Raw genomic sequence first — 27,078 nt, 5'->3', positions numbered from 1 at the left:
TATATGAGATGAGATTTGAAATTGTAAATTTCAAGAGTCATTAATTCCACACATATTTATTGAGAACATATAATTCCCCAAGGAAGTAAACCTATGCCATGTTTTAAAGCTTGAAGTTTTTTGAGGAGAGGCGTGGAGTTGAGAAAATAAGGAACGCATGGCCAGGGGAAAGCAAGGACTTATGGTTATATTACTAAGTGGAGTGGAGAGTGAAGATAAATTGAGTGTGCACATTGTTCAAAGAGTTCCAAGTTTTTCCTGAAAGCTAGGTGGAAGCTGAAGAAACATCTTCAGCAACACAATGTCAAGATCAAATCCCCAAAAGGGAAATTAGAAAGAAATGAGGTCTTTATATGCTCAAATCAGAACTTGTTATGGCCATTAAATTTATTTTAGAGGATTGAAGATGAAAACTGGCAATGCCTCGGAGAAGGATGAAAAACCAGTAGACGGTAGGCCATCAGAAAGCTAGGAAAAGTACTGTTCAGTAGTCTCAAATGTATTGAGGAGGTTATTAAAAACTTTGGATTTCACTATTAGATTATAGGCATATCTTGGAGACGTTGTAGGCTCAGTTCCACACTACCACAATAAAGAGAATATTGCTTTGGATATGAAATGGCAATGGACAAGAAATGAAGTGTTAACAGGCATCATTCAAGAGATTAACTAGTCAGAAGTTTTAAAGATGACCTGGATGCCTCTCCTAGTGACAGAGGCTTACTCCTAAATTTGGATTGGTGGCAAAACACTCACAGAGCTGTTTTGGGCACTTTCGCATTACTAACATCTACTTGTTCATAACAAATTATATGTACTTTAAAACTCTTTAGTTACAATCTAGACTATTCCATATATTTAAAAATCCATATATTAGAATCTTTTTTCATAGCCCAAATCATAAATATATATTACTGAAATTAACATAGTTACCTTTCCTTTGTATATGCATATGTGTGTATAGCTATTATGTTATACTTATGCCATAGTGTACATGTGTATGTAAATGTTTGTATACACAGGTATACCTCAGAGATATGGAATGTTCTAAATACTTTGTTGTTATTTCAACGGTGTTCACAGGATCTTCATCAGGAGTAGATTCCATCTCAAGAAACCACTTTCTTTGCTCATCTATAAGAAGTAACTTCTCATTCATTCAAGTTTTATCATGAGATTGTAGCAATTCAGTCACATCTTCAGGCTCTGCTTCTGATTCCAGTTTTCTTGCCATTTTTACCACATCTGTAATAATTTCCTCCACTGAAGTCTTGAGCCCCACAAAGTCATCCATGAGGCTTGAAATCAACTTCTTTCAAACTCCTCTTAATGCTGAAATTTTGGCCTCCTCCCTTGCATCACGAATGTTCTTAATTGTATCTATAATGATGAAACCTTTCCAGAAGTTTTTAAATTTACTTTGCCAAGATACATCAGAGGAATCATTATATATGGCAGCAATAGCCTTACAAAATGTATTTTTTTTCGTTTTTTTTGAGACGGAGTCTCACTCTGTCACCCAGGCGGGAATGCAGTGGTGTGATCTCGGCTCACTGCAACCTCCGCCTCCCGGGTTCAAGTGATTCTCCTGCCTCAGCCTCCCGAGTAGCTGGGACTACAGGCACGTGCCACCAAGCCCAGCTAATTTTTCGTATTTTTAGTAGAGATGGGGTGTCACCATGTTAGCCAAGGTGGTCTTGATCTCTGGACCTCGTGATCTGCCCACCTCAGCCTCCCAAAGTGCTGTGATTACAGGCATGGGCCACCGTGCTTGGCCCCAAAATGTATTTCTTAAATAATAAGACTTGAAAGTCAAAATGACTTCCTGATCCATGGGCTGCAGAATGGATATTGTGTTAACAGGCATGAAAACAACATTTGTTTCCCTGTACATATCCAGCAGAGCTTCTGGGTGACTTGGTGCGTTGTCAATGAGCAGTAGTATTTTTAAATGAATCTCTCTTTTTGTGAAGTAGGTCTCAACAGTGGGCTTAAAATAGTAAACCATGTTGTAAACAGATATGCTGTCATCTAAGCTTTATTGTTCCATTTATAGACAAAGACAGAGCCGATTTAGCATAATTCTTTAGGGCCCTAGCATTTTCAGAATGGTAAATAAACATTGGCTTCAACTTAATGTCACCATTAACTTTAAGATGTACTGACCCCTAACAGGAGAGCCAGGCTGTTGTTTGAAGCGTCGAAGCCAAGCACTGACTTTTTCATTCTCACTATGAAAGTCTTAGATGGTGTGTCTCCCTCCAATAGAAGATTGTTTTGTCTACACTGAAGATCTGTGTTTTTGTATAGCCAGTTTCATCAATTATCTTAGCTAGGTCTTCTGGATGACTTGCTGCAGCTTCTATATATCTGCACATTCTGCTTCACTTTGCATTATTATCTTATGAAGATTGCTTCTTTCCTTAAATCTCATGAGCCAACCTCTGCTAGCTTTCAACTTTTCTTCTACAGCTTCCTCACCTCTCTCAGCCTTCATGGAATTGAAGAGAGTTAGGGCCTTGTTCTGGATTAGGGTTTGGCTTAAATGAATTTTGTGGCTGCTCTGATCTTCTCTCCAGACCAATACAACTTTATATTAAGGATAAGGCTGTTTTGGTTTCTTATCATTTGTGTGTTGAGTGGAGTATTACTTTTATTTCCTTCGAGAACCTTTTCTTTGCATCCATAACTTGGCTAACTATGGTGCAAGAGGCCTAGCTTTTGGCCTATCTCTGCTTTCCACATGCCTTTCTCACTAAGTATAATAATTTCTAGCTTTTGAGTTAAAGTGAAAGACGTGCAACCCATCCTTTTACTTGAACCCTTAGAGGCCATTGTATGGTTAATATATGGCCTAATTTCAATATTGTGTCTCAGATAATAGGGACGCCCGAGTAGAGGGAGAGAGATGGGAAAATAGCAGTCAATGGTGTAGTCAGAACACATACAGCATTTACTAAGTTCACCATCTTATATGGGTGCGGTTAGTGGTGCTCCAAAACAATTACAATACAAACATCAAAGATTACTGAGCACAGATCACCAAGTAGAAATAATTATAATGAAAAAATAGGGAATATTGCAAGAATTACCAAAATGTGACACAGAGACATGCTGTAAAAATGATCCCAATAAACTTGCTTAATGCACAGTTGCCACAAGCTTTCAATTTGTTAACAAAAAAAAAAAAGCTATATTTGTGGAGCACAGTAAAGCAGAGTGCCATAAAACAAGGTGCCTGTATTTTTATTCCTTCTAGGACTCAGGATAGTGCTTTTCACAAAGTAGGGACATGATTAACATATTTTGTGACCATACTTTATTTCAGAGTGTGTGTGTGTGTGTGTGTGTGTGTGTGTGTGTGTGTGTGTGTGTGTAGTGTGTTTAAAATGTTATTTAGGAGTTGACAAAATAGCTCAATTTTCATTTGGAAGTACAAGTTAAGAAAATTGAAATGTAAGATGTAGCCAATTATAAGTAGTATAGAAAGTTGAAGATGTTAAGTACCTTAGGAAACCAAACTAGAGTATCAGAAACATCATATGGTATTGAGAGATGACATATATAGGGATAAAACAAACTTTAAAGAGAAAATTGAGTAAGGTTAGTAAAATTAAAACAATTAAGTATTTTATTCCGATGAGAAGCCATATGACACAATAGTTAAAAGCACATTCAAAGGAATCAGAGATGTGGATTGAAATTGTTTGTTATTTAACTTGAAGCCATGGCTTAAACTCATTTTCTCTGTGTGTAAAAGCATTGATCATATTTCCTACCTCATAGGTCTGTTAGAAAGAATCAAAGAAATAGCGTTCTAAAATATCATATAGTGATTGTCACATTAATAAATTTAGTAATTTTTTTCCAGAATATATTCTTAGGTTCTGAATGCAATCTGAGGTTAATCATGATAAAGAGCATTGTAATACACATATATAGATGGAAAGAATTAGCTAACCCATGTTACAGTCAAAGTAGTATACAATATTGCCATGGAAAAAGTAAAAAGAAAGACATATACTGAGTAGAAAATGAAAAATTCGCAGTATTCAAATTGTCAGGGTTTGGGATTGACCCCCAAGTGAAAGTGTTGAAAGCTTCATCATTTAGATCATTTCAAACTCTATTCTACCACACTCAAGAAACCCTGTGGTCAAATTCTTATCCTGTCTACTAGTTGCATAGTTCTTCCAACAGACCTGCTATTGACATCCCTGTTTCCTTGCACAAAGCTGTTATTCACTTCTAGGAAAATCGGTGGCTCTGTGGAATTGGATAAGAATTTGGCCTACAGTGAGTGATTTGAATGAATGAATTTGGAATTGGCAAGAAAATACAAACATATGCCACATTTACTTGGTACATTCACGCTTCAAGAGAACTCAGGTAGCACGTAAATTCAGTGTAAAAAGCCAGAGATTTTCAGTAAGAACCTATTACAAAGTCAGCCTAAATCTTCATTTATTTTTGTCAGATTGAAAGAATAAGGCAAAACGTAAATTATTATTCGTTGGAATGTACAAGGCTAGAATCCCTTCTGATAAAGTCATATATGGCACCTACTACTTTCAATGCTGATGTCAGAGACAGAACAGTCATGTTTTAGGCAAATTTAACATAAGTGGATTTATTAGTTGCTTTTAAGATACACTGTTTTTTAAAGCCAGTCTTCGTTGGCCAGATTGATCTGGACTACTTTCAGATTAAGTAGTCTTTGCTTTCCGTAGGCAAAATACAACCAAGGAGTATGGTGGCCCACTTGTGTGCTGGCGGTAAGTTGGAGAGAATCTGAACCTGCTCCTATTTTCAATAGTAGACAAATTTCTTCTCTCAATATTATTGCTCATGCAATTTTCAGTACCAGAGACATGGGGCCTTTAAAAAGGAAGAGATGTTAAATTTTTGACAGCTTTTCCCTTCCACTGACTGAAACAATAAAAATAAACATGAAGCTGTTGGAATGGCCTCTTCATATTATGTCATTTGCATGTGATTCCCTTTGCTTCTCTAGATAATTGAATTTATTCAGGCAATTTATTTTTTAAATGTGTAGTCTCTGTGAATGGAAACATCTTAACTAAAGACAACCCTTTCATTTCCTCTTAATGAAATATATACATGTAAGTGTATACTTCTGTTAGAACCAAGGGAATAGAAGGGAAATAATAGAAAACCCAAAAATGTATAATTAATTAAAAAGATGAAGTGTGACTCTTGTAACCAAATATTCTGTCTTTGTGTTTACCCCCTGTCTATGTTCAAGGTCTGTAGGTGTTCAATAGGATCTTTTTAATTATTTTTCCCGTTTGATGTTGCTAAGTATAATGAATAGATAGCAAAGGACTTTTGTAAGGAGCTTGTAAATGTGAATCACCTCAAAGCTGGTAGGCATAGCAGTACCTGGTTGTTTCCCATCTTGAGACTCAGTAAGTTTGAGACTTAAAGAAAATGACTCTTTAAATTGAGCTCCATGAGTCAAACAATGTAGCTTTATAACATAAATAGAGCTTGTATTCTCTTGAATCTGGGAATATAAAGAGTAAATACTTTTATTATCAATCGGCATTTTTAAGGGTTATTGAGCACCAAGCCAGAGCACTTTGGGATAGCAGAAATATCCAAAGATATTCAGAAAACAGGAATTCCAGTAGAATTGTAGAAGTGGAAACATCTGTCCAAAATTCAAAATTATTTATCTCCTCTTTATACTCCATAGGATTTAGTATAACTTAAATGCAATTTTATTTTTATATTCACCAATATGTAACTTCATCAAGTTTCCATGACAAAGTAATTTCTTAATGGGAATGAAAATACTGTCACCTGTAGTCACAACTCAATAAAGCAATAAACAGCAGTAGGATTCTGAAAAACTTTTTTTATATTGACACATTTCATTTTCTCCCTTTATTCTAACATTTATGTGGCAGGGATTTTAGAGGCAGGACACACAGCACCAAGAACTCAGCGTTCTGAGAGCCCATTCATTGTCACTAAGGGAAAGTTGCTTCCGTTTCTCATTTTATCCCTTAGTTTTACAATGATATCTTTTTGTCACGCTTTAGTCTTCCTGGAGTAACTAAAATCTTTGATTCTTACTTTGTTGTTCTAGAGCCTTCTCATTTTCCTACTTCTCTCTCTGTTTGACATATTCTATAGGTGCTCATTATTATTTCTATGTTGGCAGGGTTTTTTTTTTTTTTTTTTTTTTTTTTACAAAATATACTTTGTGTTTCAAAATCTAGTTATAAATAACGATAAACTTTCAAAAATGTACAGGGCAGACCCAAGTCAGTGAAGGAGAAGGTGTTACTCTCTTATAACTGCCATTTTTAGGCATAGGTGAAGAGGGCTTGGCCATTTGCTCTTCTCCCTGTGGATACTCTTGAAGAGCTTATGACCTGAAGTGCATTTAATCATTCACTGGAAATAAATGCTTCATAAGTCATTATTTTACAGCCTTTATTTTTTCACCTGCCTTTTGTAGGCACATCTACCTTTAGATGTTCCATATACAAATTTAAAGATCTCAAACAATTGAATTTCCTGAGGGAGATTGTATGGCATCTCTTAAAGTCCTGGGGTCAGAAACCAGGACTAATGCTCAAGCTATAAACTAATTTAGTTGGGCGGACTTATTGAAATTTACTAGACATACCAATTCTATTTAAAACATTATCTCTGTTTGCTAACAAATCTGTTTTTGTCAATACCATAATCATTGTTTCAACTTCCCAAGCAAAAACCATGTTTATCTTTGACTCTTTTTTTTCTTATTATTTTCAAGTTGCTTAATCTTATCATTGCTTCTTTCAAATTGTCTCTAGGATTGGGAACATATTTTTAGCATTCTTTTTTTTTTTAAATTTATTTTAGGTTTGGGGGTACATGTGAAGGTTTGTTACACAGATAAACACATGTCATGGAGGTTTGTTGTACATATTATTGCATCACCCAGGTATTAAGCTCAGTTCCCAATAGTTATCTTTTCTGCTCCTCTCCCTCCTCCCACCGTTTCCCCCCAAGAAGACCTCAGTGTCTGTTGTTTCTTTCTCTGTGTTCATAAGTTCTTATCATTTAGCTTCCACTTATAAGTGAGAACATGCAGAATTTGGTTTTCTGTTTCTGCTTTAGTTTGCTAACAGTGATAGCCTCCAGTTTCATTCATATTCCCTCAAAAGACATGACCTCATTCTTTGTTATGGCTGCATAATATTCTATGGTATATTTGTGCCACATTTTCTTTATCCAGTCATTTATGGGCATTTAGGTTAATTCCATGTCTTTTCTATTGTGAACTATTGGGGGAACCAGTCCCCAATATTTCAATGTAGGTTCTTTTCTATTTTCCCTAAGTGTCGGCCGGTCTGAGAAATAAAGAGAAAGAGTATAAAGAGAGACATTTTACAGCTCGGCCTCCAGGGGTGACATCACATATCAGCAGATTCCGTGATGCCCACCTGAGCCACAAAACCAGCAAGTTTTTATTAGGGATTTCAAAAGGGGAGGGGTGTATGAATACAGAGTAGGTCACAGGGATCACATGCTTCAGAGGGCAATAAAAGATCACAAGGCAGAGGAGCAGAGCAGGATCACAAGGCAAGGGTGAAATTAGAATTACTGATGAGGGTCCATGTCCCGCTGGGCACACGTTGTCCTGATAAACATCTTAACAGGAAACAGGGTTCCAGAGCAGATAACTGGTCTGACTAGAATTCACCAGGCTGGAATTTCCCAATCCTAGTAAGCCTGAAGGGCACTGCAGGAGACCAGAGCGTATTTCATCCCTTATCTCAACTGCATAAGACAAACATTCCCAGAGCGGTCGTCTGTAGGCCTACCCCTGGAAATGCATTCCTTCCCCAGGGTTATCAATTATTAATATTCCTTGCTGGAAAAAGAATTCAGTGATAGTTCTCCTACTCATATGTCCATCTATAGGCTCTCTGTGAGATGAAAAATATGGCTGTATTCTGCCCGACCCCACAGGCAGCCAGACCTTATGGTTATCTTTCCTTGTTCCCTGAAAATCGCTGTTATTCTGTTCTTTTTCAGGGTGCCCTGATTTCATATTGTTCAAACACACATGTTTTACAATTTGTACAGTTAACGCAATCATCACAGGGTCCTGAAGTGACATACATCCTCAGCTAATGAAGATGATGGGATTAAGAGATTAAAGACAGGTGCAGGAAATTATAAGAGTATTGATTAGGGAAGTGATAAATGTCAATGAAATCTTCATAATTTATGTTCAGAGATTGCAGTAAAGACAGGCATAAGAAATTATAAAAGTATTAGTTTGGGGAACTAATAAATGTCCATGAAATCTTCACAGTTTATGTTCTTCTGCCATGGCTTCAGCTGGTCCCTCCGTTCAGGGTCCCTGACTTTCTGCAACAGTAAACAGTGCTGCAATGAACATTCACATGCAGGTTTCTGTAGAATGCCTTATATTCCTCTGGGTATATACTCAGTAATAGGATTGCTGAGTCAAATGGTAGTTCTGGCTTTAGTTCTTTGAGGAGTCACCATACTACTTACCACAATGGTTGAACTAATTTACACTCCCACCAACAGTGTATAAGGGTTCCCTCTTCTCTGCAACCTCACCAGCACCTGTTGTTACTTTCTGACTTTTTAATAATAGCCATTCTGACTGGTGTGAGATGGTATCTCGCTGTGGTTTTTATTTGAATTTCTCTAGTGATCAATAATATTGAGCTTTTTTTCATATGCTTGTTGGGTGCATGTGCGTCTTCTTTTGAGAAGTGTTTGTTCATGTCCCTTGCCCAATTTTAAATAGGGCTGTTTGTTTCTCTCTTGTTAATTTTAGTTCCTTATAGATGCTGGATTTTAGACCTTTGTGAGATGCATAGTTTGCAAATATTTTCTCCCATTCTGTAGGTTGTCTTTTTACTGTGTTGATAGTTTCTTTTGCTGTGCAGAGGCTCTTAAGTTTAATTAGTGATTTATTATTATTATTTTTTAGCGCTTCTCATAGGAAAGTAACATACATTGTAAAAAAACAAACAAAAAAACAACAAAGTGCACATATATGTACCTGCCTTGCATATACACACACACACACACACACATACAGGCATATTAAATTACAAATAAAAAAAACTCTTGGCCGGGAATGGTGGCTCATGCCTGTAATCCCAGCACTTTGGGAGGCCGAGGCAGGCAGATCACCTGAGGTCAGGAGTTCAAGACCAGCCTGGCCAATATGGCGAAACCCCGTCTCTACTAAAAATACAAAAAATTAGCCAAGTGTGGTGGCAGGCACCTGTAATCCCACCTACTCAGGAGGCTGAGGCAGGAGAATCGCTTGAACCTGGGAGGGGGAGGTTGCAGTGAGCCAAGATCGTGCCACTGCACTCCAGCCTGGGCTACAGAGCAAGACTCCACCTCAAAAAAAAAAAAAAAGAAAGAAAAAACTTCCTAAGTACACTGTCATCGATTATCACACATTGTGTATAGAGTATCTAACCATCTAAAAGTGGCTATTAGCCTTTTTCCATATGCCTTACACATTCCTGTCATTGTCCCTATAGAAGTAACTATCACCAGGCTATGGATGAAGAGGGAAGGGCAATGTACTCTGGAATGTGAACAAAAATAATCTGAATATATAAGGTTTGGAAAAGCTCCTTTCTGAGTGTAACCTATTTTCCAAAACAGTTGATAATCACAGATGACAGATAGATTTGATGGTTCTTTTCAACTCCCACTGCTACAATCTAGTGGAAGGCCTTTTATTGTCACATATGTGTCATGGTAACAGTTTCCTATTCAGTGGAGATCTTTACTTTCTCCTCTACCCAATTAATTCTACATACCACTGCTAGACTAATCTTCCTAACAAGCTACTTTAATAGAATCACTCACTGTAGATCAACAATAGTTCTCCATTGCCTGCTAGGTCAAATGTAAACTACCCTACTTGACTTTCATGACCCTTCATGAAATGACTCTCCTATATTAGTCTTCTATTTATTATTCTTCATTTCTTTTGGTTAAGCCACTTCCTTCATTGTAGTGTGTGTGTATATGCACTGTAAAATTTCCTGGGTGGTGCCTCTGGGAATGCTCTGTATCTTTTCCTCTTCACTTATTTCTTCTAGGCTTAAACTAAATGACTCTCTATACATGAAGATTTAATAAATTAATAATTAACTCAATATGAATTTATGGAACATTAATAACAAGGCATAGTGTGTGTGTGAATAATCAGACATGTTCCCTGTCTTCATGGTATAGAAAGAAAATTAAATGAACAATCCTAAAAGAGTGTGATTAGTACTATGATAAGAAGTTTTCCATTTTTCTTTGATTTCTAGCATTCTCTCTTCTCTAAACTTCTCTTGCATGTATAATTTGCTACTCTAAAAATTAGTACTTATTATAGTTGTTATGATTACTAATTATTTCAGGTGCATTTCAGTGCCTCTCAAATTTAATTTTAAACTCTTTGAAGAGAGAGAAAACCAGCTTTATTTTCTTATACCTTTGGCATATCTTGCAGCACCTGAATCAGTTGAGGAAGCTTAATGATGACCACAGCAAGGAGTTTAGAATTGAATCTTAGGTTTAATTCTCCAATTTACCATTTCCTACTATTATTTTGGGTAAACTACTTTTAGAACTTTAATTTCATCATATGTTAAATAGCAATAACATTTTTCAGGGAATTTCTCTGAGAATTATTTGTTAAAAGCCCATAGAACATTTGCAACAGTGCCTTTAAGAACTCCAAAACTGGTAGCTATATTTTGACTGAAACATTAGTGAATAAACAGATTTTGTGTATCTCATCAAGAAAATGCCTAATAATGTAAAGGTGCTTTTTATGTCCTTTAAAACTCTAAGACTGACAAAATCTGTGTATAGCATTGCTCGTGTAAACTACATGAATATAATCTTTGCAGAGAACCTAATATTTTACATTAAGAACGACTATCTCAGTGATTGTGTGTGCTGTGGGATGGTCCTTATGGGCCCGCTAAAGTGGGTTCAGGAAATTCTGCTTTATAGTGTGAATAAGTAATTTGGCTAGTTGGGAAATTTTGTAAGAGTCTGTGGACTGTTTAATACCTCACCATTACTTTTAGACTGAGAACTGAAACTTGTGCTTCTTATTTCTCAACTCACTGCCTAATGTCAGTTCATGTTAAAGGCTTCTTTCACAAAAAGCTTCTTTTGCCCTAAACATAGTTCTCTATTGAGAGTCTTAATTAGTATAGAAAAATAGGTCTTTAGCTCTTTTTTAAAGGGAAGACTAGTGTGGTGGCGTAACAGAGCGGACTGATTTTAGGCTATGAAATTAGCCTGATACAGTGAGAAGGCATATGTTTTACAGACTTTTTCTTTTATAATTCTCAGAGAAATTCCCTGAAGAATGTGTTTCAAGGTGCTGCTGGAGCATAGCAGAGAGAAATAGCAAAAATGGAGAATTTGTACTTGATAGTATCCTTCCTCGTATTACTATTGTTGTTTCATATTTTTCCTGTAAGAAAATAAGGATTTATTTGCCAGACAGTCTAGTGGTGCTGATGTCCTCACAAAGAAAGAAAAAGCTTGATGTGCACATCTCAGAAAAAGAAAGAGAAAGATAGAAACATGACATAAAAAGTAATTGGTGTCATGTATTTATCACAAACAATCCATTACTCTTCATTTTTTTCAAACTTTCACTTTTAATAGTTTTATTTCATAATGAGTAGTAACTGAACATCTTTTCTTTGATTGTTTCCCTGAGTTATCACTTTGTAGAGAACCATGAAACTGTGAAATTTGAAAATTGAATATGCAACAGAGGTAAAAGCCTACTAATGCTGTATGGCATTTTGTGGAATACCTTTTATTCTCTTAAAAACAAAAGAAAAGTTTGTATTAGGTTATCTTTAAAAATGGGCCACATTAAATAAATTTTAAATTATTAAAAAAATCTTTCCCTGGATACAGTTTGATTTTAGCAGAAAAAACTATAAAAACTGCTTGTATAGGCATATTCTATATTTGGCAGAGTGGATGAAAGAAAGGGCTTTTCTCCTCCTAATATGTTTTTTCTTTGCTTTTCTGGTAAAGGGTCTATTTTTTTTCTTTATTTGTTTTTGTATATTCTATGTTTTATTCATCTTTATAGGCTAATATGCCTGGAAGCACACTTATTTTAACAAACACTTATATAGCTCTTGTAATATTTGTTGCCATTTTATGAATTTTATAGCTCATAACACATATTATTAACTTATGTAATACCCCAGCTCATATAACTCATTATATTTTAACTTATAATCCTCTAGCAACCCAGTGAGGTATTAGATGCTAATATTATCCCCATTTTGCAGATGAGAAAATTGAGGCATACAAGGATTGACTTGTATGTGTGTGACTTGTCCAAGGTCACACAACTGGTGAATGATGGAACCAGGATTTGAACCAAAGCTATTTGGCTTCAAATTCTCTGTGCTTAACCCATCTTTATGCTGCCCTGCAAGTTAGTGTTCAAAACATTTTATTATATAAATGAAAGAGAAAATAGAGTGAATGAAATAATATTTCCTTTTTAAAAAGTTTATTTTCGTTAGTGTTAAATTTTGGAGATAAATCATATACATATAAATTAATTTTCACTTATCCCATTTTCTAGATGAGGAAACAGGCTTAGAGAGTTTAGACAATTGCCCTAGATTATACAATTATATATAACTGTATAATATAACTGTATAATACAGATTATAAATAACAGAGCCTGTCCTTGACCCAAATATCCTGACTTCTGCCTCCAGTTTCTTAACAACTGCTTTATACTGCTTTGCTGCCATTATATTTTACTGCATGGGAGGACCACAATCTATTTTATTTATTAGTGAAGACATAGTCAGTTTCCAGTTATAAGCAGTGCTAGCAAACGTTTAGCTTCTTCACTGAATGAATGCTCTGTATTAAAAAACTACATTTATTGCTATGTGGGATAAAAGTAAGTCATTTCCTCAATTTTCTATACTTAAGCAACTCTATTAAAAATTTTGGTACAGAATACAGATGAAAATTTGAGAAATTCCTTATATCTTATTTCTTCCTTCAGACACATAGAGTGAATAGATATTTAGTCAAGTTTACTAAAAACGACAATAAAAAGGTTCTAGAGATTTAGGAGAATGACAGAAAAATTATATCTAATCAGTGGCTAGTTACAATACATGTTAAATTTATTACAAATGTTAAAAGGAAAATGTTTTGATTTGTAGTCTAACTTTTGTTTAGACACCTCTTATGGTTGGTCTTTGCTCACTCAGGGAAGAGATCATCAAACGTTTTAAAGTGTATTTGCTAGATGTTTAAACATAACTAAGACACAGAGCACATATCATCCCCAGGAAGATAATGAGGCTGTCACAGCACAAAATGTTCTTTGTTTTTACGGGTTCTATTAGTTAATGTATTAGCAATTTTCTAAATGCCACTTTTGCTTATTAAGAGGTTTTGAGAGCACATGAAAACATACATTTTATTCTTGAATGCAGCATTTCTGAGATTATTAGCAAGTGTGATTCTGAAGGAATATTTTCAAATACTCTGAAGGAGCATTTGGGGTAAAAAAAAAAAAAAAAAACACGTTAGACACTTTTGCCCATGCAGCATCTACATGAAAATAAAGATATTTTTAAAACTGTTTCTCCTATTTATAGCATCTCTTATTGATAATCAGAAAATTTGCCCTTAACTTGCAGTTTCATTCACCATCATTAAATTAGATGGTAAATCTGATAGTGATTTATAAAACAAAATATAATATTTTCATATTGTAAATGAGATCTAATTATTAATAAATTTAAACTAAATGTTGGTGCATTTCTAAAAACAATCTATTTTCACAATTCAATTTTGTGAATTAGGAAATCTGAGATTTCCTAATCTATATAGTTAGTAGGACATCAGGAAACATAAGCGTGTTTCAACAAATGCCAAAATGACTATTAAAAAATTCAAAGTCATTCTTTTACAATATGTGTGTGTATATATATATATATGTATATATATATATAATTTTTGCATGTGTGCTGACTCTTCTCCATCCCCACTATCCTTCTTTTCCTCCCTGGAATATATTACCTTTTCTCACTCTTCTCAAATTCTTGTCCCATTACTTTAATGATGTCTTTCTTCCCCACTGCAGCTTTTAATCATTCCCCCCTTTCCTTCTCTGCCTCTTTTTCTCTCCTTAGCTCTTAACAGTTTTTCCTATGACAGTAGTTCTCAAACTTCAGTCTCACATGGAAGGCTTGTTAACTCAGATTTGGTTGGGCTCCACCTCCTGAACATCTGATTCAGGAAGTCTGGGGTGAGGCCTGAGAAAAATGTTGAAAGTGTTCCCCGGTGATGCCAATGACATTATTTTGAGGACCACCGTTTGCGAATCATGTTTATAAAAATCACCTGTCACTATGCTATCATTCTTTATTGCTGTTTAGTACCATTTGAATGCATTTTTTAAAGAACACACTTTTAAATATTTATTTAGTTTCCTAATTAGTAATTAAATAAAAGCCTAAACTAACATTTCATCTCAATGCTTGGCAAAGAAATGCAAACCAAGTTAGACTTCTGCTGAATTTCCATCCTGTTGAATAGCAATCTTTAAAAGAGTCTATATTTTTAGGCTTTGAAAAAAACATTAAAGAGTTCTCACTTCTGTTTGCACTGTCCCAAAATACATAAGAAATGTTTGAAATACGGGCTGGATTATATTTTTGAAGTATAATGGGGCCATTTTTATAAAATGATAATCTTTTTACCTGAACTTGATGAGGACTGTTACTGTCTAGAATATTCAGTCTGCCCCGAGAGTGTGCTATGTCTGCCTTAAAGACACAAATTAATTTGTAAGGTTTTTCCAATGTTCTTTAAAAGTTAGAAAAAATTAGAACTCATTAGTTCAGGAAATTAGAGCTTTCCGTAGATCATAGAGAAAAAAGGTTGCAGATGCCTGTTTAAGTATTTTAGAATTTCTATCCATTTTTAATATTGTGATGAATAAATGTTTCTAAGGATTCAAAATACTAATTTTCAGAGAATTTCAATCATATGAAAATATTGAATATATATAATATAAGCATTCCTTAAAAACTAACTTGGCTCTTAACTTGCTTGTAAGTGGTCTAGATTAGGCCACTACATACCAACCTAGCCGCTGATCATCACACTTCTTTAGAGAACTTTAAAAAATGCATATATGTTGCTTTCTGACCCTATCCCAAGATAGATTCCAGGCCCACTCATCTAAAATATATAATCTTAAGTTGTGTACCTTATAGTTGTTTAGGCACTAAGGATCCCTGATGTTGTAAGTGCTGATCTGTCAGTTTTACAAAGGTATTATCAGTGGCTTTTTCAAATATAGAAGGATGACCAGTTGTGATAAGCTCTCTCTCTCGGTGAACTACTGAAATAGCCCAAACAAAAGTACCTCTCTTATTTTTCATTTTTTGAACTACTGGACCTAAGTACAATTAGCTATGTTTCAGACAAAAGGAAAGGCTTTAAATTGGATGACTTGATCCATAATCATTACTATAACAAACACTCTTCAGAGGTCTGTCTGTAAGTGCTGACTTGTATTCTGTGGGTATTGGGAACTGACAATATCTTGTTCCCAGAGTATTTAATTTGATAATCTTAACGAAAGAAAATTTCTTAGTGTTTTCTATCGAGTTTTTTAAACTTGGTTTTGCCTCAATGTATCTCTTTTATATTTACATCTCATTTTTAGGAACATTAATATTGGAAAATTGAGCTGATAAAACTTGCTGTCAAAATTGCAAACTTCATTTGTAGAAGTTAGCAATTCTGTCTTGTATTTCAGATTTCTGTGCATATTATCACAAGATGATTGCTGAATAAGAAAACAATGATTGCCCTATTTATTTCTCTTTAAAGAATAACTAAAATATGTATCTCTTTCTAAATGCTTATCTTTAGAGCAGTAAAATTTTAAGATATTAACATATATACCTTAAATAAACTTTTATCTTGATAAGGGGTAAACTTTTATCTTGATAAGGTTTTTTTTTTCTTTTGCAAGCAACTGGTTTTTTAAAATAACCTAATTGTCTATACTGATGAGCTGATATTATTTTTCTATGAAGGTATATATTTAGGTCAGGTATACATTCCTTAACCTGGAATCCATGGTTCATAAGAGTTCATAGCGAATTTCCTAGGGGAGGTTCATAACTGGAACTATGAACATATAAAATTAACTCTGTAAAACTATATGAAATTGTGCGTGCAATTGTATGAGTGTGTGTCTGTGTGTTTATGCATGTGCATATGTGTTTAAAATAGCATTTATAGCTATCTTCAAGGGATCGGTAGTCCCAAAGGAGTAAGTGTGGTTTAGGGTTTCGTGCAGACATTTTATGAAAAATTATTTTAATCAAGATAACCTGAGAAATAATTGAAAGAGCTCTTTAGACAATAATTATATTTTTTCTATAACTAAATTCAATTTGGTACCTCCTAATTTGGCAGAAGAGATTACAAGTAGTGAAATTTAGTTTCAACATTTGTTATAAGGTATATTTTTTTCCTCTTTTGATGGAATTTAAGGAATAGCCAAATATTATAGCTTTCAAGATATTTTTTGAAGTTTTGTTTTACCTTCTCCTGGTGATTTTTTTTTTATTTTTTATTTATTTTTTTTTTATTTATTTATTTATTTTTTTTTTGTAGACAGAGTCTCACTCTGTCACCAGGCCGGAGTGCAGTGGCGCAATCTTGGCTCTCTGCAATCTCCACCTTGTGAGTTCAAGTGATTCTCCTGCCTCAGCCTCCAGAGTAGCCGGGATTACAGGTGCGCGCCACCACGCCCAGCTAATTTTTGTATTTATAGTAGAGACGGGGTTTCACCATGTTGGCCAGGACAGTCTCGATCTCTTGACCTCGTGATCTGCCCACCTTGGTCTCCCAAAGTGCTGGGATTACAGGAGTGAGCCACAATGCCCAGCCATCCTGGTGATATTTTATAAATCACAACCCGTTGCTGGAAGAGGAACATGACTATGTCAAAACTTGTTGAGCACCAAAGTACGTTCTCTGTGTATCTGTAGTTCATCTTATGCTACCTCTATGCAATACCCAAATTACTGAACATGCATTCATGAGAATCTAATTGATGATAGTCCAGATCTTCTGTACTAGCTTTTTTCTAAATTGAAAACTTAATTTTACTGGAAAGGATGCTGGAGATGCTCACAAATTTTATAAAGATAGTTATAAAAACATAGACTACTGAGTACCATTACTCTGATTAGTCATGTAGAAATATAAATCTATATATTTGGTTTAAATAATTCTTTAAACATTAAAATTTATTTTAAAAAATATGACATGAACCAGTAGATATTTGGATGGACAGAGCTTTATAAGTCTGGAATGTGGTTGATTTAATTAATTTAAATGCATATATCTCATTTGTTTTCTTTAGGACTTGAACGTATTTCAGTGGAAACCTCTCATTTTCATACTTATTAAAAAGACAAGTGTCTTGTTCACCCTTAACATTGGTAGATACAGACATAGATGAAAGAGGTATAATAGCACTATGGTTAAGAATGAGGGCTCTGGAGCCCAATAGGTTGGGGCTGATTTTTCACTCTACTTTTTGGTAGTTATGTGACCTTGAGCATATACTGTGCTTCAGTCTCTCTGCCTCAGTTTATCCAGCTATGAAATGGAAATTATAATCAGGCTTGCCATGAAGATTGAGTTAATACATGTAAAGCACTTTACGCAGTGCCTAATACAAAGTATTCAATAAATATTTGCTATCATTCTTATCAATTACTGTCTGATAGATTGAATATTAATGTAATGTTTCTAAGTATGAACTTAATTTCAGTTTATAAGGCCAATAAGTAAGCATAATAACATGTTTCTTAAGGCCAGAAGTCAAGGATGAAATGTCACTTGAATAATAAAAGAAACACATGTATCTGGTTATTTCATATAATCTCTTCTTTTATAAAATGAGTTAATTCTTCTTAATTAGCACATCATATAGAGTTTAAATATTAAGGTTGAAATAATATTTCTTTCGACGTGTTCATAGCAATATTCTGTCTTTAAAATGAATTAACAAGAATTCAGTTTTAAAAAGATATTTTAATGAGGACAGCTATGTTAGGCAGATCCTTTTTCTATTGGTTGCAAAGATAACAAAAGGGGTAAGGTTAAGCAAAACTTGTTCAAAAATAACAAAGGAAGATTATCAACTTTATTCTGAAAGTTTAGAGACCTCTTTTATGATTAGAATTTAGAGGTCGTATATCACAGTTTGGGGAACTTGTTTGCAAAGTACTGGTATGCCCTTAGAATTCACAAAACTTGATTAAATAGATATTGCTGGTCTGGACCACTTATGCTTATGTTAGCTGGTTCTCTTGATTTCACCTGCCAGCAAAGTGAAGTGACACATGGAATCATTACTTCATGTATGACAAATGCAATCCCAGGGAAGGAACTCTGAAAAAGATAGGATTTCCTTGACTGAAGACTGTGCTAGCACTCCTTAACAAGCTATTCACCATGCAAATGAACAACAGTGTCCCACACTGAAACAGCTGTTAACTACATAAAACTGTTAAGGAGATTAACAGTGCCAGAGGCTGAAATGTAATCAGGCAGGTGAAATAGTGGTAAGATAAATATTCCTGTGTGAAATAGCAATAATGTTTAATTAATTTATTTTTATACTGCTGCAGCAACTGAGTTTAGAATACTTGTGAAATATACTAAACTTTAAAACATTTATTTTTCTCTTTGAAAGGTGTAGAAAGTTAGAGATATGCAAAATGGGATACCTTATCTGGATATTTTTTGATATTTTTGATATTTTAATAGACTTGATTTCATTGTAATTTTCAATTATGGCAATTAAAGGTCAGCTGCCCAATTATTGTTTCTAAAGTTTGTCATCATATAATGTGAAAGCAGAGTACAGACAGAAATGTTCAAAGTGTAGCTAACATTGGGATGTTTCTGCTTTTGGTCCTGGAAAGAAATAAGAAGGAAGATCTTCTGTGGAAAATTAGTACAGAGGTTTCGCAATATTCTGTTTGCACATGAAACTAAGCTAATGTGTGTTATGGACCATTCATAAAAACATTCCTATTAATTTACTGAATGAATTTGTGATTGCTCTTTTTAGGGCTCTGTGTGTGTGTGTGTTTATGTGTTTGTATATTTATGTAGGTTTTAATAATTCCAGAAGTGTACCTTCACTTAACGTGCGGGAGTTTGTAATTGTTACATTTTGTACATTGATTTCTAAATCCAAGTATGTTATAAGCTACTTTGTCCATAAAATATTCACTCAAGGCATAGTGCTAGTCAGAGGCATATTCTGTAATGTTTGTGAGAAATGAAAGCCATTTGAGGTTTAGAATTATAATTTGGAAGATTCTGTTGTGCACATTTTTTTTTTCGCCTTCCCCACATGCCTCAGCCACATGCAACAAACTGATGTTTGTAACATAGCCTGTTGTCCCTGTACTCACTAATATCTTAACAACAAAAAAAAACATATTAACAGATTATGTTTGTGTTGACGTATCTATTTTTAATCTATTTTTCAAAATTACACTGATGGTTTTTAAACCAAGTATGTTAGCATATTTTTAAGCTAGTCCAAAATATTGCATTAACCTTAAAAATATTGAGTATCAATCAGTGTGATTTGTTACTTTTTGGAAGTCAACAGATTGTATTACTGTGTCTCAAATAGGTAGAGAAGAAATGTGCAAACAGGTATAATCTAATATCCTGAATATTAAATAGGCACACATTCAAATATATTTTAATGCGAACTTTTAATGTTGTAGAATTAAGAAATATTTTTAGTGTGAGTCTCAAAGATCTTAGGATACAGCTTTATGTTTAAGATGTCTGTTTTGTGAGAGGTAAAGGATTATGGAAGTAAGAGACTATACAAGGAAAATCTTTAAGTAAGAAAATTAATTTTTCTTTATCATTTCATTATCACTCCTCCTGATAATTTCTAAAAAATCACCTTAATATGTTTTATACAAAATATTCCCCAAATATTATACAAATTACCAGATTTGTGCTAGAATATGTGAGAAAATGACAATAGACTATAAAAAGATATTTACATTTTAGAACCATACAATAAATTATTTTTATTCACATACCCACATGACTATGAAGAAGCAAAAACTGCAACAAACCTTATTTTATAGGGCAAATGAGGATTAAAATACAAAATAGCAAAGAGTGTTGACAAACTGTGCTTCATGTAACAAATGAAGTTGAAAATGTCTTCATCATAGGCAGAATTGAACTTGGAATATTCTTGTCTGATGTCAAATAACCTGTGTGATGGATGCTTTCTTAAAAGAAGGAGAGGGAGGTGGAAAAACTAAAACTTTATTAGAGTATTATCAAGAAGAGGCAGCTACTGAAAATGAACATAAATTGTGTGTAATGATATTTGTTTAAATATTACAAAGTCAGGAAGTTTAACACAAATGATCACTACATTTAATACCCATAAGAAAATCTGAGGCTCTCAAACAAAAGCAGGAAAATAAACAAATCTAATAATATAGGCTTCGTATAGGACTATATTGTCATTTATACTCAGTTTAAAGGAGAGAATCTCCATATTTGGTTTCTCCTTTGAATAGATCTTTGACTTACTCTAGTACTACCATGAAAACTGAATTTATTCTTTTTTGAAATTTCTTGGTTTCTTTGCCTCTTGCAGAGTGACATTTCACTTTTTAATCTTTCAGCTGAATAAGCCATATAACCAATTTTTTAAAGTTACTGAATTTTAAACAATTATTTGTCCTTTTGCTTTCTCTTTCAGGTAAACAATTATTTGTCCTTTTGCTCTCTCTTTCAGGTAAACAATTATTTGTCATTTTGCTTTCTCTTTCAGGAAGTTGATGGCAATAAAGTTATGTCTTCATTTGCCCCACACAACTCATCTACCTCACCTCAGAAGGCAGAAGAAGGTGGGCGACAGAGTGGCGAGTCCTTGTCTAGTACAGCCCTGGGAACTCCTGAACGGCGCAAGGGCAGTTTAGCTGATGTTGTTGACACCTTGAAGCAGAGGAAAATGGAAGAGCTCATCAAAAACGAGCCGGAAGGTAAAGGCTGGAAGAGAAAACAAAGTTGATGCTGTGTCCTGATTTTAATACTTTGATTTTAATTTCTTGATTTGTTTTTTGATTTATACTCTTAAAGTTAAATTGGGCAAGATGGAAACCTATTGCTATGAAGACGGTTGGTATATTTTTTTCAGAAACACTTAGCCCTGTCTATCTCAATTTTTTAAATCATTAATTTATGTTGTGATGTTATTTTCACATATGAGTAAATTAGTTGCATGAAAAAGATTCAAGAATAGAATGTGGCAGCAGAGCCGGGAATAGTCACCTGCTTGTCAAATATCTGCAGCCTAGTTTGTTTCTCTCCATTTTTTTTTCCCTTGAGGATTAATGTAGAATTTCACTACATTTTGTAACCTTTACACATTAATACATCTTATCCTGTTTCTTGTATAGTCAAAAATTAATATGGTTAGGACTATTATATACTTACAAATTAGTGATTCTTTAACTTTTAGATATGCTTAAGTTCCTATTTGTTCAACTTCCAGAAAGTCTTTCTTTTAAGATTTTATCCTCTAAATCTCTTTAATAGTTCCTGATAGGAACCTTCAGGTGATAGGCAAATGGACTAATCTTAAAATTAAAGCAAACAAGCCAATAAAATAACTGTTGCAAATTGTACAAACTTATGCATAATTGACAATCATCCTTTATGTTACACATGCTTACTAACTCCTATTTAAACCTCTGTCCATCCTAAGCATGGGTGCCATACTGCACACAAGAACATGCCTCCTGTTTCAATCAGATGGAAATTTAAAACAAATAAACAATGATGTGCAGACATACTTTATAACAAAAATACACTGCGTGTATACCGTGTAACAATAAGTTGGGCTCATTTCTAGTCTGTTAGGACACTGGTAAATTATCAGGATATCTGACACAAAATTCTGTTATCCTGTATATGTGACAGCCATGTGACAATTAAATATTTCTGGTTCCCTACCAAGTGCATAACTGGGACCTGGATTTTGGTTAAAATTTATGCAGTTCTCATGATCTGAGAATTGGAAAGAATTTTAGAGATATTCTTGTCAGCCAAAGATTTTGGATATTTTGTTACATGTCCTCCTATTCTCATGGAGATAAAAATGCAGTGTTGAGGGGGATCCAGACAACCTTATGTGTTTAAAATGGTGGATTGTTTCCTAATATTAAAAATAAGACAGTTTTATAATAATTATTTTAAAAACATAAAACATTATAAGGAAGAAAATAAAAATCACCTGAAGTCATAGCTATTCCTGTGTGAAACAGCAATAATGTTTAATTATTTTTATACTGCTTCAGTAACTGAGTTTAGAATACTTGTGAAATATGCTAAACTTAAAAAACTTTTTTCTTCCTCTTTGAAAGGTGTAGGAAGTTACAGACATACAAAGTGGGATATCTTATCTGAATTTTTTTGATATTTTTGATATTTTAATAGACTTGATTGCATTGTAATTTTTTGCATGAAGTCATGGCTGCAGGTGATTTTTATTTTCTTATAATGTTAATATGAGGTTAATAGGATTCTTAACCTTAGGATGTGTTTTTTAGTGTTTATTTTCATATATTCTGCTAATTTTTTATGATTAGCTTTATGCAGATGGTCCCCAACTTACAATGGATCCACTTAAGATTTATCAACTTTAAGATGGTACAAAAGCAATACACATTCAGTAAAACCATACTTCGGATTTTGAATTTTGATATTTTCCTGTATGCAGTAGGATACTCTCTCTCATTGCTGGGCAGCGGCAGGGAGCCATAGCTCCCAGTCAGCCACGCAATCAAGAGGGTAAACAATGATACTCCACAGTACGTTGTGTTGCCAGATGATTTTGCCCTGTGGTGGACTAACAACATAAGTGTTCTGAGCAAGTTTAAGGTAGGCAAGCCTAAGTTATGATGTTCAGTAGGTTAGCTGAATTAAGTGCATTTTTTACTTAATGATATTTTCAAGTTGCAAAGGGCTTAAGGACATAACCCTATCATAAGTCTAGGAGCATCTGTACTTTTAAAATATTGTGCTTCCTATTTCATTTAGAATTATAGTATGAGTGTGTCTTCTGCCAAGTAATATACTTTGAAAAGAAATAACTGCCAAGGCTGGGCACGGTGGCTCATGCCTATAATCCCAGCACTTTGGGAGGCCGTGGCAGGTGGATCACCTGAGTTCAGGAGTTTGAGACCAGCTTGGCCAACATGGTGAAACCCCGTCTCTACTAAAAATACAAAAATTAGGCAGGCATGGTGGTGTGTGCCTGTAGTCCCAGCTACTTGAGCAGCCGAGGCAGGACAATAGCTTGAATCTGGGAGGGGGAGGTTGCAGTGAGCCAAGATTGGGCCACTGCACACCAGCCTGGGCAACAGAGCGAGACTCTGTCTCAAAAAAAAAAAAAAAAAAAAAAAAAAAGGAGAAATGACTGTCAAATATTCTGAAGTATGGCCATGATTTGCTATTGTAATTTATACATTCACTTTATTTTTTTTAAAAACAGTTTTAGATTTACGGAAAAATTAAGCAGATAGTACAGAGTTCCCATGTATTCCATCCGTATACAGTCTCCTCTCTTATTAACATCTTACATTAGTATGGTATATTTGTTAAAATAATGAACCAACATTGATACATTATTATTAACTAAAGTCCAGAGTTGATTTAAACTTCTTTAGTTTTCACCAAGTGTGCTTTTTCTGTTTTAAGATACCATCAAGGGTAACACATTATATTTAGTTGTCATGTCTTCTTAGGCTTTTTTTGGCTGTGACAGCTTCTCAGAATGTCCTTGTTTTTCATGACCTTCAGAGTTTTGAGGAGTGCTGTTCAGATATATTGCAGGATATCTCTCTATTGGAATTTGTCTAATGTTTGTCTCAATCAGATGAGATTTGGAGATTTGGGAGGAAGACCACAGAAGTAAAATACCATCTTTCTCACCTCATGTCAGTTACATACTTTCTATGTAATTAAGAATGTTGGTGTTGGCCTTGATCATTGGCTCAAGTAGTGTTTTGCAAGTTTCTCCACGATAAACTTGCTCTCTGTCCCCTTTCTACACCATACTGTTTGAAGCGGAGGAGCTCTGTACAAGCCACACTTACGGAATAGGGAGTTATGTTACTAGAGCTGGATTGTCTACATAATATTTGCATTTTTCTACATGGGAGATTTATCTCTTCTCTACCATTTATTGTTTCATTCAATCATTTTTTACATCAGTATGAATTCACGAATATTTATTTTATATTTTGGGTGTCATTTAATACCACTATTGTGCTTGTGGTAATGATTGTTATTATTAGTTTAGCACTTCTTTTCTTTCTGACTCTGTAAGATATTGGGGATTCATTTTGTATATTTCTTGCTCCAGTGCTAGAATCATCCATATCTCCAAGAATCTCTGGTTCCTTTTATTGGAGAATATTAGAATGCAAGATCTGAATGCAGAGTATATCCCTTGCTTCTGACGTATCGTTCCTTTGAGGGCCTCTGAGCAGACAGAGCAATGAAAATACATGTGTGTGTACTAACCTATATATGTATATATCTATAAATATTTCTATATTTGTCTATATTAAGCTGAACATGAGTTCTTACTAATGTCTCTAACTGGAATCCTTTTTTGCATGGATTATTGCAGCTTCATTTCTTACTGATCTGTACATTTCCACCCCAACAGTGAGAAATATGGCTCCTACTAACCACCATTAATTTATATAATTGTTCAGTTCTAGTATACATGTAGAAGAGTATCAGAATAATTAACTGCTACTACCATAGGAAATATCTTTCTCAACTAGAGAACAGTGTATGTGTCCTTTTGCTTTTAGTCTTACAGATTCCATTCATTTCCAAAGTTACTAAGGTAACTTACTAACTTACTTTTCCCCTACCCCATTCAGTGAAATTGTTTCATGTATTTTTAACACAGTTAAACTAGTTCTGTATTCTTTACTGGTGTCCCTCACACTCCTCTATGATTTTTTAAAATTTTGCTTATGTTAAGGCTCACTTATTATGTTGTATTATACATTTATATGTGCAAATGCATAGAAATGTACAATGTATAATGCAGTATGCATTGACAAATGCATATTGTCATTTACCACTGACAGTATCATGTAGAATAGCCTTCACCACTCCAAACTATCCTGTTTCACCTATTCATCCCGCTTTTTTCCCTAGAATCCCAAGTAATCACTGATCTTATTACCATGTATAGTTTTCCCTTTCCTAGAAAACCATATAATCAGAATAATACAGCATGGGGCTTTTTCAGACTGGCTCTGTCACTTAGTAATTTAAGGTTCTTCCATGGCTGTTTATAGCTTGATAGCTCATTTCTTTGTATCAGTAAATAATATTCCATTGTATGAATATACCACTATTTTATCAATTCTTTTTGCCTATCAAAGCACATATTGGTTGCTTCCAGCTTTTGGTTATTATGAATAAAGCTTCTATTAATACTCATGTGCAGCTTTTTATGTGGACATAAGATTTCAACCCAATTGGGGAATGTGAATGCTGGAATTTATGAGAAGATTATATTTTAGCCTTGGGAGAAACTGCCAGACTATCTTCCAAAGTGGCTATCAGATTTTGCATTCCCACCAGGAATGAATGTAAGTTTCTATTGTTCCACATTCTCATCAGAATTTGATATTGTCAGTTTATTTTATTCATTCAAATAGGTGTGTAGTAGTATCTCCTTGTTTTAATTTGTAGTCCTCTAATTTTAAGAAATGTTCAGCATCTTTTGTGTGCTTATATGCCTTTAATGAAGTGCCTGGTTAGATCTTTTTTTGATTTAACTGAATCATTTTCTTGTGAATGAGTTTTTAGAGTTCTTAGTATATTTTGTATACAACTTCTTTGTCAGGAATGTGTTTTACAAATATTTCTACCAGTCTGCAGCTTGTGTTTGCATTGTCTTAACATTGTCTTTTGAGGAATAAACATTTTAATTTTAATAAAATCTAATTATTAATTGTTTTGCATGGATTATGCTTTTGATGTCTGTAAGCAATCATCACATAATCCAGGGTCGCTTAGATTTTCTCCTATCTTGTCTTCTTGAAGTTAGTGTAGTTTTTCATTTTGCAATTTAGGTCTGTGATCCCTTTTGAGTTAAATTTTGTAAAAAGTAGTTCTGTGTCTGCATTCATTCAATTTGTTTTTGTTTTGCATATAGAAGTCCAATTATTCCAAGACCATTTGTTCAAAAGACCATTATTTCTTCGTTGACTTGCCTTTTTCCTTGCTAAAGATCAATTGAACGTATTTGTGTGGATCTGTTTCTGCCCTCTGTATTTTGTTCCATTGATCAGTTGGTCTATCGTCTTGCCAGTATCATCCTGTCTTGATTACCGTAGCTTGATAATAAGTCTTGAAGTTGGGTAGTGTCAGCCCTCCAACTTTCTACTTTTTCTTCAACATTGTGTTGGTGTCCTGGGTCTGTTACCTTTTCTTGTAGACTTTAGAATCAATTTGTTGATATCCACAAAATAACTTACTTGGATTGTATTGGGATTGTGTTATACCTCTAGATCATGTTGGGAAGAATTGACACCTTAAAAATACCAAGTTATCATATTCATGAACATAAAATGTCTCCCTATTTATGAGTATCTTTAATGATTCCTGGTGAGTTTTGTAGTTTTCCACATATAGATCTTAAACATACTTTGTTACATTTATACCTACTATTTCTTTTTTGATGTAAAAATTTAAATGTAAATATAAATTATATTGTCTTTTTAATTTTATATTTCAATTGTTTGTTGCTGAAATATGGGAAATTGACTGTAGTATATTCCCCTTGCATCCTTTGGCCTTTCAGGACTCACTATTAGCTCTAGTAGTTTTTACTGA

At 34.2% G+C, this 27,078-nt stretch overlaps 1 protein-coding gene across 42 annotated transcripts in view, besides 2 other annotated features; it reads left to right on the top strand.

Annotated features, from left to right (window-relative positions):
- Window positions 1–27,078, top strand: part of SOX5 (SRY-box transcription factor 5) — a 1,033,147-nt gene that overhangs the window by 695,480 nt on the left and 310,589 nt on the right. For all 42 annotated transcript variants that reach the window (XM_024449159.2, XM_024449158.2, XM_047429458.1 and 39 more), the window contains one exon: window positions 20,978–21,188. In XM_024449159.2, coding sequence (XP_024304927.1) covers window positions 20,978–21,188 — 211 coding nt within the window. The remainder of the gene's footprint in view (window positions 1–20,977; window positions 21,189–27,078) is intronic.
- Window positions 14,230–14,430: a silencer, noted in NCBI's record as "peak1613 fragment used in MPRA reporter construct". NCBI's record gives its function as "represses an SCP1 promoter by STARR-seq MPRAs in K562 erythroleukemia cells {active_cell/tissue: K562}" and the evidence as "EXISTENCE:reporter gene assay evidence [ECO:0000049][PMID:32103011]".
- Window positions 18,350–18,550: a silencer, noted in NCBI's record as "peak1611 fragment used in MPRA reporter construct". NCBI's record gives its function as "represses an SCP1 promoter by STARR-seq MPRAs in K562 erythroleukemia cells {active_cell/tissue: K562}" and the evidence as "EXISTENCE:reporter gene assay evidence [ECO:0000049][PMID:32103011]".

Source organism: Homo sapiens, chromosome 12 (genome assembly GCF_000001405.40).
Source record: "Homo sapiens chromosome 12, GRCh38.p14 Primary Assembly".
Classification (NCBI taxonomy): domain Eukaryota; kingdom Metazoa; phylum Chordata; class Mammalia; order Primates; family Hominidae; genus Homo; species Homo sapiens.
This window is presented reverse-complemented; position numbering and strand designations above follow the sequence as displayed.